This window comes from Homo sapiens, chromosome 3, assembly GCF_000001405.40.
Source record: "Homo sapiens chromosome 3, GRCh38.p14 Primary Assembly".
Classification (NCBI taxonomy): domain Eukaryota; kingdom Metazoa; phylum Chordata; class Mammalia; order Primates; family Hominidae; genus Homo; species Homo sapiens.
The window spans coordinates 116,705,354-116,718,742 of NC_000003.12; the positions used below are offsets into that span (position 1 = coordinate 116,705,354).

General features: G+C 36.6%; 1 long non-coding RNA gene across 4 annotated transcripts; it reads left to right on the plus strand.

The window, feature by feature from the left end:
* The first annotated feature begins 4,425 nt into the window (after nt 1–4,425).
* On the plus strand, nt 4,426–11,683 carry TUSC7 (tumor suppressor candidate 7). 4 transcript variants are annotated; one of them, NR_015391.2, is made up of 4 exons: nt 4,426–5,068; nt 7,002–7,504; nt 8,686–8,797; nt 10,835–11,683. It is a non-coding gene; the product is annotated as a tumor suppressor candidate 7 (long non-coding RNA). The 4 variants fall into 4 exon arrangements; NR_186112.1 differs by having other exon boundaries at nt 7,002–7,246; NR_186111.1 differs by having other exon boundaries at nt 7,002–7,154.
* The last annotated feature ends 1,706 nt before the right edge of the window (nt 11,684–13,389 follow it).

Below are 13,389 nucleotides of genomic sequence, written 5' to 3' on the forward strand. Positions count from 1 at the left end.
TTGGACAATCTCTTCACACATCCTTGATTCTCAGTCTTCCAGAAGCTGACAGAAAGCAAAATAAAATAAAAGAAGGCAAGAGAAAAGAAAACTGGTGGAAAATAAAAAGTGCTAAGTATGACTCTTAGTACTTTGATACAAAAGAAAACAGAGGAGGGGGACTGGGGAAGAAGAGATGAGAAAACGTATTAAATCCTCACCTTGCCTCAGGTATGGGGTTTCTGCACATTAGTAGGCTTTCTCCCAAGCCAGAGAATATACTTTACCTCATGGCCACAAGTGAGGTGGGCTGGATAATAAGGATATTAGGAAATAGCAATTATATTGCAGATGTAAAAGGAACAAAGTCAAAAGAGGGAATGAGAGAAAATACAGGAATGAAGAACAAAATAAGGGAGTAGCGAAATCCAGGGAAAGAGAAAAGAAAAGGCAACAGAAAATGGTTTATCTCTAGAATTAATACATTAGGTTGAATTATAAAACAGTGTTCCAGGTTTCAAGGACTTCATGGAGGTTTTTTTATTTGTTTGTTTGTTTTAATGAGACGGAGTCTCACTCCGTTGCCCAGGCTGGAGTGCAGTGGCACAATCTCGGCTCACCTCAACCTCCACCTCCAGGGTTCAAGCGTTTCTCCTGCCTCAGCCTCCTGAGTAGCTGGGACTACAGGTGCCCACCACCACAGGGTTTCACCATGTTGGCCAGGCTGGTCTCAAACTCCTGACCTCCAGTAACCCACCCGCCTTGGCCTCCCAAAGTGCTGGGATTACAGGTGTGAGCCACCACACCCAGCCGACTTCATGGAGGTTTTAAAGAAGAACCTGCTTTCCAAGGATCTGAGTAGATTATAAAACATGCAAGGCTGGTTTGTGAAGTAAGAATAATAGGATGCAATTTATTAAACTCCTACTACTATTTGCCAGGCATTCTACTGGGGCTTTACATTCTTTAAATCCGTAAATGTTTGTTACTGTCATCTACAAGATGTGGGCTTCTCCAAATGCTTGAATTCCCTGAAATTACCTCCTTCTTCTCCCCTACCAAAACTCACTTCACTTCTGCTACAAGCTGAAAACAACTGAAAGTTAATTGCTACTGTTACAATAAGTATAATGTCACAGTTTTCAAAAATAATTTACCCTGGGTTAGCAAACAGCTAGCTGAGAAGAGGTAAGATTACTGATGAAAGGGAGGGGAGGACAGAGACAGAAGATGCTGGGGGAACAGGCAGCCTTCTATTAATTTAGGAGCCAGTGTTCTGAAAAAAGAGATGCATAACTGCAGGTACTGTTTCCTGTTCCTGTTTTCTCTTCCATCACTTGCCTGGGGCAATGACAAGCATGTAGGGGGGTATTCTAGAATTAATAGCAAATATATTTCTCTCAGGAGGGGATAGAACCCTAATTTTGTGACAATTCAGTATATTTCCAGTATTATTATAAAAGAGTGGACAATCAGATAGTTTTAAAGACTTATTTAAATACACTCACACATACATATACATTTGAGGAATCGCCTTTGCTGAGCTACATGGTATTACAGGTAGCCTAGTCTGAACTCATCCCATTTTACAGGTGAGGAAACAGAGGCCCAGAGAAATCAAGTGACTTGTTCAACCCATGCCATGCAACCAGTTATTAGCAGGTCTGAAATGGATGTATTTTTCATTAACCCATGATCCTATAATAGGGAGAAGTCACTACTCCAATAGCTGTACATAACACCAAAGAAAGTATACTTTGGATTGAAATGAAACAAAGCTCAGACAAACACTGTCACACACATATGACAATGGCTAGTGGGATATGATGAATCTCACTTATGATGAAGTGGAAAAACATAGGCTTCCTAATCAGAGGTAACATAAACATAATTCAAAACTATACTTAAATTGTGTGGGGTTTTTTTTGCCAATGTTCTATTATTTATATTTCATGTTATTGGATTATATGTCATAAGAATTAATGAAAACACCTATAAGGGGCCTAGTAGAGTGTTTACTTTCATTCCTTACTTCAATTGTCAAGAGTTCCCTTTAGGGCAAAAAAATAAGCGACTCTGTTGTTAGTCTTCCTGAATGCTTTCAAGATCTCCTCACAGCAGCCTAATTCTGTTTAATTTCTCTTTTCTCTTTCAGAGATGATGATCAAAAGAAGACATGAGAATTTTTTCTTGATTAATCACCCATGTCCACCCCTAATCCTAGTGTATAAAAATGTAGAGGAATGGGAATCTTACTCTGCCTTACAAATTTTTGGCGGAAACAAAGACAAAGTAAAATGTCTGTGATTTTGCTCTAAGAGCCATAGAAAAATTCTGAAATACAAGTACTGCAGGAGTTGCTCTACATTTGACAAAGAATAGATTGTGCATGTTGTCATGGGAAAGTGTATGACTGGAGGCGCTTGTGCATTTGTCCTTGTTTTACATAACCTACCTCATTCACGCATGGCACAAAGATAAAAAAATTGGATCTTGGTTGGTTATTTAAAATTCACAAAGTCCTATTCTTGGCCATTTATATGCTTTATTTTCTCAATCTATACTGAAACTTAGGAGCAAAGATTCTCCTGATTTTAGGGTGTGGTTTCGGAAAAGAATCAGAGAGAAAATGAACAATGAAAAGTATTGAACATGCCCTCTGTGTAAGAAACCATTGCAGATGATTCTTTCAATCCTTGCAACTACCTTGCCTCCTATAAGGTAGAGCATTTGTTTTCTGGCTCTCCACTAGCACCAAGAACAACGTCTGGCACATAGTAGGGGTTTAATATGCACTTCTTCAATGAAGAAGTGAACAGTCCACAAGCTGAGTAGCATTATCTTCACTACACTGATAAGGAAGCCGAGGTTCAGAAAGATTAAATTTCCTAGTCATAGTCTTAAAATTAAATACTAGGTAGAGACAGGTTATAAATCAGAGTTGTTGACCTTCACTACCAGGCCTCTGTTCTCTCTACTAAGTTGGTAAAAAGAGCAGTGGCTAAACTTAGTTCATAAAGTCTCATGGTCTAATAGCTATAGAGGTGAAGCATTCTATAGAAATGAAAACTATGTTGATTTGTTTCTCCCTACTCCATAGCAGGACCATCCTCCCTGCCCAATGACCACCTTAAGACTTATTGAAAAATAATAAAGGCACATCTTGCAGACTGCAAACATAAAAGATGAGTGCCAATTCCATGTGCTGAGTTATAATAATTTCTAATGATCAAAGGCAGCACTATCTCTAAACCAAAAATCCTGTTTTCTAGCCTTTGCAATAGATGAATTGTGATACTATGGACAGTTTCAGTTTCTTCATCAGTAAATGTTGGGATGTGGGAGAAGTTAAATGCTAGCAAGAGTCATTCGATCTCTAATATTTTCTGATTCCTTCTCCCCCAGCCACAATTAGGCAACTTACATCTTAAGAATTGAGAAAACATAACGTCTATTTTGTTTTCTCTTTATTCAAGGAAGCCTACATCACTTTTCTAATTTATAATTTGTCCATGATTACTTATATGTAGAATCTACTTCAAGGGCATTCTGAATTGGAAAAAATGGAATATGCTTTGTTCTTGCTTTAGTACATGGAGAGTTAATTTTTTTTTTTTTTTTTAGTGATGGTCATCTATCCAATAAATACGTCTTTCTACATTTTTACCCCTTGTTAATAATAATTATAATTATTTTGATCAGGTGGGTTTTTACAGTTTTATTCCTTCTTTATTATTTTCACTTTATGGTCCAAAAATGCAAGTTTGTTATGGATGAAAATATGACAAATTTGAACTCGGTTACTGCCACTAATCAGGCTTAGAAAAAAATTAGAACATTTAATTGATTTCCCACAGCTCAGAGTTATGGATTTTGAAAACAGAAATGGATTTTTTTTCCTTATGGATAAGAGAAACAATGCGGTGATGACTAATAATTAGCATGGCTTCCATGCTGGGACAGTAACAGGAACTGGTAGAGACCATGGCTGAATGAAGACCATACACATTGCCTATAGAAGGCAGCCCCTACTCAGCTTAGCCAAATTTTCTCATGTAGAATTATAGGTCTAGTGGATCTAGATCTTAATATATTTTTGAGAAAAGCTAGAAATGTGGATTTTTATATCAAATGTATCCGTTTTTAATGCTGGTGCAATTTCTAAAAATAAACAAAAACTGTATGGGCCAAATAAAATATATACGCGAGCTGAATTAGGCTAGTGGATTACTAGTTTGAGAACTCTTATTTAGAAAGATCTGCCTCTGAGAATTAGTGTTTCCTTCTTGACCAGGCAGAATATGGATCTGTGTGTATGTGCTTCTATGTATGTGATTTAGCAATTAACCAGTAAACCTGCCCCCTTCAAAAGACGCATATTGATGAAATCATTTGTGACCTCACAGGAATCACAAATGATGTTCCTATGACGCCCTAGATTGTTCTGTTACACAAGGGGTACCAAAGTCCACTCTGAGCTTTTCCTCTGGGAACAGATCCCAGATTATTCCAGACTTAAGACATGGAGATATATCTTGCTAGAGGTAGGAAGATGATAAGATCAGTTTCTATAGGTAGAGGATAATGTGTCCTAAAATGTAGGTAGAGATAAGTCTGACAGTGGTTTAGACAAAAAGGGCCTCTGCTAATGGTGGAGAGATCAAGGAAGAAAAGAGCAACGTTAAAGTGAGGCTGTACCCACAGATCATGCTCAAGCAAATTCGAACCGTGAGCGCATTTCTCTTAAACAATGAACACTTAGAATAAAAATTAAAATTTCCCACAAATTTCTAATTTTAAAATAGTTTCCCAAGATTTCAGTGGTATTGTATATATGCCCATATAATTTTTTGGATTACTATTCCCACAAGTGTAAGATGAAAGAGGACCTGCCCTCCATTCTATCTACTCCCTCTCTGCAAAGGCCATTTTGAAGATCTCAGTTTTACTGAAAGGGGTCTGCCACACATAACTTCCCTGGTGTACCAGCAACAAGTGTTCAGTGGACCATGGCAACACAAAGAATGACGGAGGAGAGAAAATGCCATGCAGAAGTGATAGTCAAGATGAAGATGTGGGAGAGGAGCAGGTATAAACCCTTTCTTATCCCAAATATATCAGGAGGAAGTGACCAGAAAAGTGATGCTAACTATGCCCTTAGGGTACAGCCATACAATGAGATAGAAGAGTCTCAGCTGGGACTAGAATAATTTCCTATCCCTTATTTCTCTACTAAAATTTTAAAATTCTAAATATAAAAAACTGATATGAAAGAAAATTCTAAATGTAAGTACTACTTTTCATGCAATGCAAATTATTTTCCCATTCACTACTCTGAAACTTATAAGCAAAACTAATATGGTTGCAGAGTTGAATCTTTTCCAAACTAATGGTTTTTTTAGGAGTAAACCTTAGAGTGAAGATGAAAGACATGTAAAGAGACATGATTACCTTTACCACAAAATGAAAAACAATAAGGAGTTATTGTGCCTTTCAGTACAGCACTGCCCTTACTATACCCCATGGCATTAACCCCATAGATATTCCTGACTACCCTGGGAATTAGAAGTGTGTAGATAGTTACTCCATTAACAAACTGCATTAACAAAGAGTGCTTCCCAAGGTCACATGGCTAGATAAGCTAAAACCCAAACTTTCATTCTTATGAATCCAATTACATAGCTTTGTTAATTGTGCCTATATTTCTGGATTTTACTTTCCCATCTTCAAAACCTGCATTTTAGGATAAAGGTATCAAGGGGAAGATATGAATTTATAATTAAACTTTGTACTCTGACTAGGCCAATATCTAAGAATTACCATCAGTGTAAGTATTGGTAGTATGTAGACCAACACAACCTCAGTAATGTTCTTGGAGTTCTAAGAAGTAAGGGCATGCAGATTTATTTTCTCTGCAGCTTTAATGCTAGAAAACATACATGCATTGTAGTAACTATTTCTCTCTTCATCCTCCTTACAGCACAAAGTAGAGTAACAGATGGGTTGTCTTAACTAAAGATGTCAGCACTTTATTGACCAGGCTTCTGCTAGATTCTATAATAGCAATATATGAATTGTGATTTCTCCTTTCAGGGACTAAGAGGGCATGATTATTATTCAGGAAACCTGTTTTGTTTATTTTTTCTTTCTCCCACTTCAAGTGTTATTTCATTTTTAAGATACTTGCAGCTTTCTCATTCTATGATGTAGTCCCATATAAGAAATATTTCCTTTCTGAATCATAATTCAATCCTCAGACTATTAGACCATACCACCTGCTAGAGGGTGACATGCATCTCATTAAAGATAGCTGCCATTACTAATGATCAAGCACAGTTCAATGAGTACAGTCAAACTTTAAACATAAGCATAAAGCAAAACACTAAAGATAAATTAGGGCTGTAACGAAACTCAGTTTCAATAAAGCATCTCATGAAATATCTATATTCAGCTTCAGTCTAATACACTAGAAAATACTTGCTTCTGAGTATTAACTGTGGAAAGCCTACATAACAAATATTCACACTTTAACCTGTCACTCAGCCTGCAAGTAAACCTAAACCTAAATCTTGAAACATAACCTAAAAACCTTTGATGGAAACTCTACATAAATATAAATTTACAGAATTTATCCTTTTTTGTGAGGCACATTTTATGAATTGGTTATTATCTGCATTAGCATGGTACAAGAAATATGTTAAATGTTTTAATTATTTGATCCAGATTTCCTGTCTGCTTTCATACTAAATAAAATAACTAAAAGCATTTTCAAGATAATATTGTTCATAGTTTACAATTGTTTCTCTAAATGTGAGAAAGGGTCTGATTTACAGCATTATGCTCCTGTGTTTTCTTATCTTATTAAATGATGCAATTTTCTGCCTTTGTCACCAAAACAGCATCTGCTAGTCACAAAACTAGAAACACATCTTTTAATTAAATGCTTATTTTATTTTCCCTAGGGACAATGAATTATAGAATTACTTTCTCAAGAGTTACTGTTTCCTTTTCCTTTATCTCAGCCCCCAGTATATATTCAGTGTGTCCTCTGAAGTAACAACCATCCCATCTGGCTGAGAAGTGATGGACACGGCTCCTTAACCACACTGTACCCTCTGTTCTTGGCACCTCTCTACCAGAAAGATATCAACAAATTGGATGGAATTCAGAGAACAGTAAGAAAAATGATTAAAGAGATGGAGGCAGTGACTTATGAGGAAAGATGAAAAGGACTAAATCTATGTAGCTTGGCAAAGCAACAACTGAGGTGGCGTATGAAAACTGTCTACAAGCATTTGAAGAATATAAACACCAAGGGAAGAGAGGGAACTTTTTAGAATGGTCTGGGGAATAAGCAGAGTAAGAGGACAGAATTGAAGAAAGGAGAGAGATATGCTAAGTTGGGGGTGGGGGCGTTTTCTCATCAATTGTAAATTTTGATAAATAACAAAATTAAGTCTGGAGAGAAAGAGTTGCATCTCATGCTTTTAGGTTACAATCAGTGTTGACCTGCACTGAGAAAATGGTAAGTGAGAGAATAAATAGTATCTGTTTGTATGTAGACATATAATATTTGAGCTGTCTTTTTCAGCTTACCAAGTGCTTCTACATGCATTACACCATCAAATTTTCAAATTGACTGTATGTCATTATGAGTTCATTTTAAATAAGAAAAAGCTAAAGATTACTTCTAAAACACACATAAATATATCTCTAACCCTGAGTTCATAATCCCTTTCTTCTTATTCTAGATTTTAAAATTTTAATACAATGTAGACTATAATCACTCACAATATGGATAATGAATTTAAGGCTATGTTTTAATTAGCAGTCCACCTCACTGTACCCATTGTCTTGTTCTTTCCTGGAGCAGATTAGACACAAACTGTAATCAGGGCAAAATTCTATAGATGACCCAGTGAGAAAAACAATTCCTTCTTAAATTCTCTGGTTAAGCACTTTTTCTTGGGTGCTGTATTAACATCATGCTGACACTCCCTAACTGTTAACAGCAGCCCTAAGGTCATTCACTAATGCAAGACGTTGAGACCCACTTAATATAATATACCATCCCAAGCAAGGATATTTACCATATAACCTGAATCAAAGTCTTAAGATATGGAGCTCAAGTCTGCTAAGAGATGTCACTTGTGTTTTGTTGCCTTCAACCACCTATCATTATGCTAAGTATTGAGTAGAGATCTACATGGATAATAAACCAGGTACGAACACTGTTGTTTCTAACTAGAGTTTTAAGCCTAAATCTGTAGAAGGTTTCTAATCATGATGAACTGTCCTGGAACACTTATGAGCTGTAAAGACACCTTTTGCATATCTAAGAAGCTAGACTAGGCCAGACTTGGGGGCTCACGCCTGTAATCCCAGCACTTTGGGAGGCCGAGGTGGTCTCATCACCTGAGGTCAGGAGTTCGAGACCAGCCTGGCCAACATGGCAAAACCCTGTCTCTAGTAAATATACAAAAATGAGCCGGGCATGGTGGTGCATACCCGTAATCTCAGCTACTTGGGAGGCTGAGCCAGGAGAATCACTTGAACCCGGGAGGCAGAGGTTGTAACGAGCCGAGATCGTGCCATTGCACTCCAGCCTGGGTGATAAGAGCGAAAATCCATCTTTAAGAAAAAGAAAAGAAAAGAAAAAAGAAGCTAGACTATATTCTATGTTTCCTTTTTTTCTGGTTCATACAGTGACTTCCTATTATCCTTCTCAAAGTTATTGCTGCAGAGGAAAGAAGCATACATCTTTTACCCACCAGGAAACCCCCAAAGCATCTATTACCATAATAGCCATGGGAAACAGGTAAAAAAAAAATCAATTTAAAGCAAATAAGCCAATGAGAACAAAAGATCTCCCCCACATCAAAAGAGTCTTCTGTGTGGAATCAAGAGCTTTTAGAAATTTTACCTTTCACCATGGAATTGTGGACTTTTGCACCAAATGTGTATTCTTAATCTAGAAAACACAGCAGGAGATGGTTTGGCATGATGATCTTTCTGAAATTTTATCATTAAAACAGTACCATCTACTTAGAGCTAGTCTGCATCTTAGATTTTAGATATCTGCAAGTTTTTGAGCATATAAGTTCTTGAGCAGTACTTCTCAAACATTAATGTGTATATAAATCACTGGGGATCTTGTTAAAGTACAGTTTAATATACTAAACCTGAGGTAGAGCCTGAGAATCTGAACTTCTAAAACATCTCCAGATGATGTTGATGAAGCTGATCCATGGACTACATTTCAAATAGCAAGACCTGTAGGGTATTTTTATTCCAACTGTATGACAGAGCAGTGAAAAATGGCTACACACTAGCCACATATCATTTTTTAAAAGATTTAATTTTTAGGTTCACAGCAAAATTAAGAGGAAGATACACCGATTTCTCATATAGCCCCTCCCTCCACAAGGGCATAGTTCCCCCCTTATCAATGGGCCCCACTAGAATGGAACATCTGTTACAATTGATGAACCTGCATTGACATATAATCACACAAAGTCCATAGTTTGCATTAGGGGTCACTCTTGGTTTTGTGCATTCCATGGGTTTTGAAAAATAACATATATGACATATCTATACCACTATAGTATTGTACAGAGGATTTTCACTGCCTTATAAATCCTCTGTGTTCTGCATATTCATGCTTCTTCCCAAACCCTTGACAACCACTCATCTTTTCACTGTTTCCATAGTTTTGCCTTTTCCAGAATGTTAATAGTTAGAATGATACAGCATATAGCTTTTTTCAGATTGGCTTCTTTTACTTAGTAATATGCATTTAAGATTTCTCCATGCATTTTCATGGCTTGATAGCTCATTTCTTTTTAACATTGAATAATATTCCTTTGTATGTACCACAGTTGATTTCTCCATTCACCAACTGAACATCTTGGTTACTTCTAAGTTTTGGCAATTATGAATGAAGCTGCTATAAACATCTGTAGGCTGGTTTTTGTGTGGATATGCTTATTATTCCTTTGGGTACATAGCAAGGAGCATAATTGATGGATAGTATGTAAGATTACATTTAGTTTTGTAAGAAAATACCAAACTGTCTTCCAAAATGGCTATATCATTTAGCATTCCCACTAACAGTAAATAAAAGTTCCTATTGCTTCACATCCTTGCCAATATTTGGTATTACCTGTGTTCAGGATTTTAGGAATTCTAGTATATGTGTAGTGGTATCTCATTGTTATTTTAATGTGTATTTCCCTGATGACATACTGTGTGGAAATTTTCATATGCTTATTTGCCATATGTATATTTTCTTTGGTAAGGTGTCAGGTAAGTTATTTGGCCCATTTTTAAATCGGGTTTGTTTTCTTATTGTTGAATTTTAGGTGTTCTTTGCATAATTTTGATATAGTCATTTATCAGATGTATCTTTTGCAAATATTTTTTTCTCAGTCTGTGCCTTATGTTCTTATTCTCTTGATCCAGATACTTTCCAGGGAAAATTTACATTTGATTTAAATTATCCATTTCATATGGCATTAACAAAATGCATTTAGGTAATAAAGCCGACATATGTATTTATAGTTTTATTTGCATTGAGATTTTATAATATTTTACTCCATTTAATTCCAGTTCAATTTTTATAAATGTGTTTCCAAGTTCATGCCCTTACAACAATCCTATTTTGAAAAAAGTGCCCTGTGGAAGAAAGGCCAGAAGGGGCAATTTGCCATGACTCAAAAATGGCAAAGGCCTTAAATGTAAATCATCAATGCTTTTACAAAGTGGGTTTATATAGAGTTTCTATACTTATTTCTGATGAAAGCACTGATTTCTAAAATATAAACTTATATTAACATTTGCTTGTTTTCTCATACAGAAGGCACCTCAAATAAAGGTGGGGAAAAGAATGAAAGAAATGGCTTTGGCCTGTGCCTGTTTGACCTCTGAGAGATACTTTTTGCAAGAAATTGTTAAGTTTTGGCCCAAAAAGTGGTCGGTCTTTTATCCTTCCTTGTGGAGGCCAAACTGCAAACCAGGATGAAGAAACCATCAGTGGCAGTTTGGGGAGGTGGAGGAGGGACTATCTAGACTCAGTGAATCACCAAGGAAACATGAGGCCTATTTCTCTGTGAAGCTGAACTTCAAAAAACAATCTAAGAGATACAAAGGGAAAAGTGTGACTGCTCTGACAGCAAAAACAAGCAAATATCTCCAGAGGGGATTAATCCTTCTGCTTCAAAGTAACTAAAACAAAGAAAGCTGAGCCAGCTTCACTGGAAACAACACCTGTCCATCAGACAAGGATGAGCTAATCAAAAGAAAACACTGCCTATGTGCACGACTCAGCAGCCTGGACAGCTAATACCAAGGAACACGTTTTCACTATAAAGATTCAGCTTTCAAAATCCAGTTCCCTCTTGTAGAGCCACAGGGTTAAAAGGGACCTTAGAGATCATCTACATACAGGCCAAACCCTCAATGAATGCCAGTGTTCGCCTTATGTTCTTCTTGCCGGACTCTTTTCTGGCCTCTGTTCTGTCAGGATGTTTCCTGTTTTGCAAAACAGCTTTAATCCTTGAGTATATTTAATTGTTAGAAAACAGTTCCTCAAATTTGACCCCAAATTTAAGTCTAATTTATGAAGAAAGTTTTGCCTTTGGAGACAGGTTTAATTTTACTTCCATGTGGAAAACCTTCAAATAAAATGATGACTATTGTGTACTCACGAACTATCTCTTCTTCTCCCAGCTTAATCAGGTCCTATGGTGGTGTACAAATGTTTCTACCACCTTATTACCATCTAGTTTTCAATGGCTCTTTGAAAATATATTGGCTAACTCTAAATACAAGACTCCAGATGTAATCTAATCAGTACAGAATACATTTGGATTTTTACATCCGACCATCTGGAGGCTATATTTCTATTAACTCAAGTATAAGATCTCTTTGCTTTCTGTCATAAATTGTGCCAACGATCAATGCTTGTTTTTACACAAACTGCAATTAAGTTCCATTTCCCCCAACCTGTCTTGTGCAATGGATGTTTTAATCTAAGCATGAGACTTCACATTTATTCCCACTGATTTTCAGCTTGTTACCTTTAGCTCACTTTTTAATCTGACAGTCTTGAATTTTTATTTTGTTATTCAGAGTATCCGATATCCCTCACAAATTAGACTCTAGAAAATTTGATAAGCAGGCCCTGTACTTTGTTATTCAAGTCACCGCTAAAAATACCAAATAGAACAGGGCCCAAAACAGAAATACATGGCTTGAAAGAGACTTTCAGTATATGCCCAAGCTCAATATAGATTTGTTTAAATGATCCATCTTCTCTTTTTTTCATTCTTCCATTTACAGACTTTATGCAAGGCTTTTATATTTGGGAGAACATACCAGACCTACAAAAACCCTTGCTTTGACTATTGGTTTCTTATCTCTCCTTCCAGCTTTATCCTTCCTAGTGATAAGATAACACTCAAAACTCAAGATAATGCTCAAACAAGTTAAAACTCAAGACTAAGTGGGACTTGCTCTAAACCCCTAAGTATTAAGGATGACACTGTACTGCTGCTTAGCACATAGAAGATTCCGCTGGACATGCAAGGTCAGATTAGAGTCAAGTGACCCACACTTTGAGAATTTAAACAATAAGTCAAGACTAGCTATTGCAGAGAGAAATACTCTGTATGAATAAATTTACAGCTAAGGTGTGTTCCTTAGCTAAAGTAAAAATAAAATAAAAAAATTTAGAGAGTTGGTAACTTTACTTCAAGGGCCATTGTGATATCACAGTAAGTCAGCAGTTTAGTCTTTCAGTCTGCCCACAGAGTTAGATTTTGTTGAAGGCAAAATGCTCAGCATGGTAACTAATCAGCACACTCTCTCCAAACATCCCCTGCCTTTATTTTCAGTTGCTTGTTACTTCAATTTACACCGATTTATCCTCCCTCACAACTCAACCCACAACTTTCTCATTGCCTGACCTGAGGCATGGATAGCAATTTTCAGTGTAATCAGCCAGAGGATGTAATCAGTGCAATTAACAGAAGGATTGGGAATACTACATGAAGCCTAAATTCAAATACCACTAAAATTACTGTACTGTATCTGTAAATACTCACACTAAACAAATATTTCTTGGGATAAGTTTCTGGCAGTAGGCTAATAATTTCAATGTAAAACTTCTGAAGGAGTTCAGGTCCCATAACCACCGCCAATTCACTGCTTTAGTATACTTTATTGAGCACCTTCAGTATGCCTATTCTTAGGATGAAACAAAAGTGAAATAGGATGTGATACCTTTCCTTGAGGAAGTTTGCTGTGTTGAAGAAATAAGTCTTAAAGTCATAAGAAGATTCCCAAAACAGTAAGAAAGAGTGCCAGACTAAAACTGCAAATAAAAAGAATATTTGAATGGGAAGAGGATAA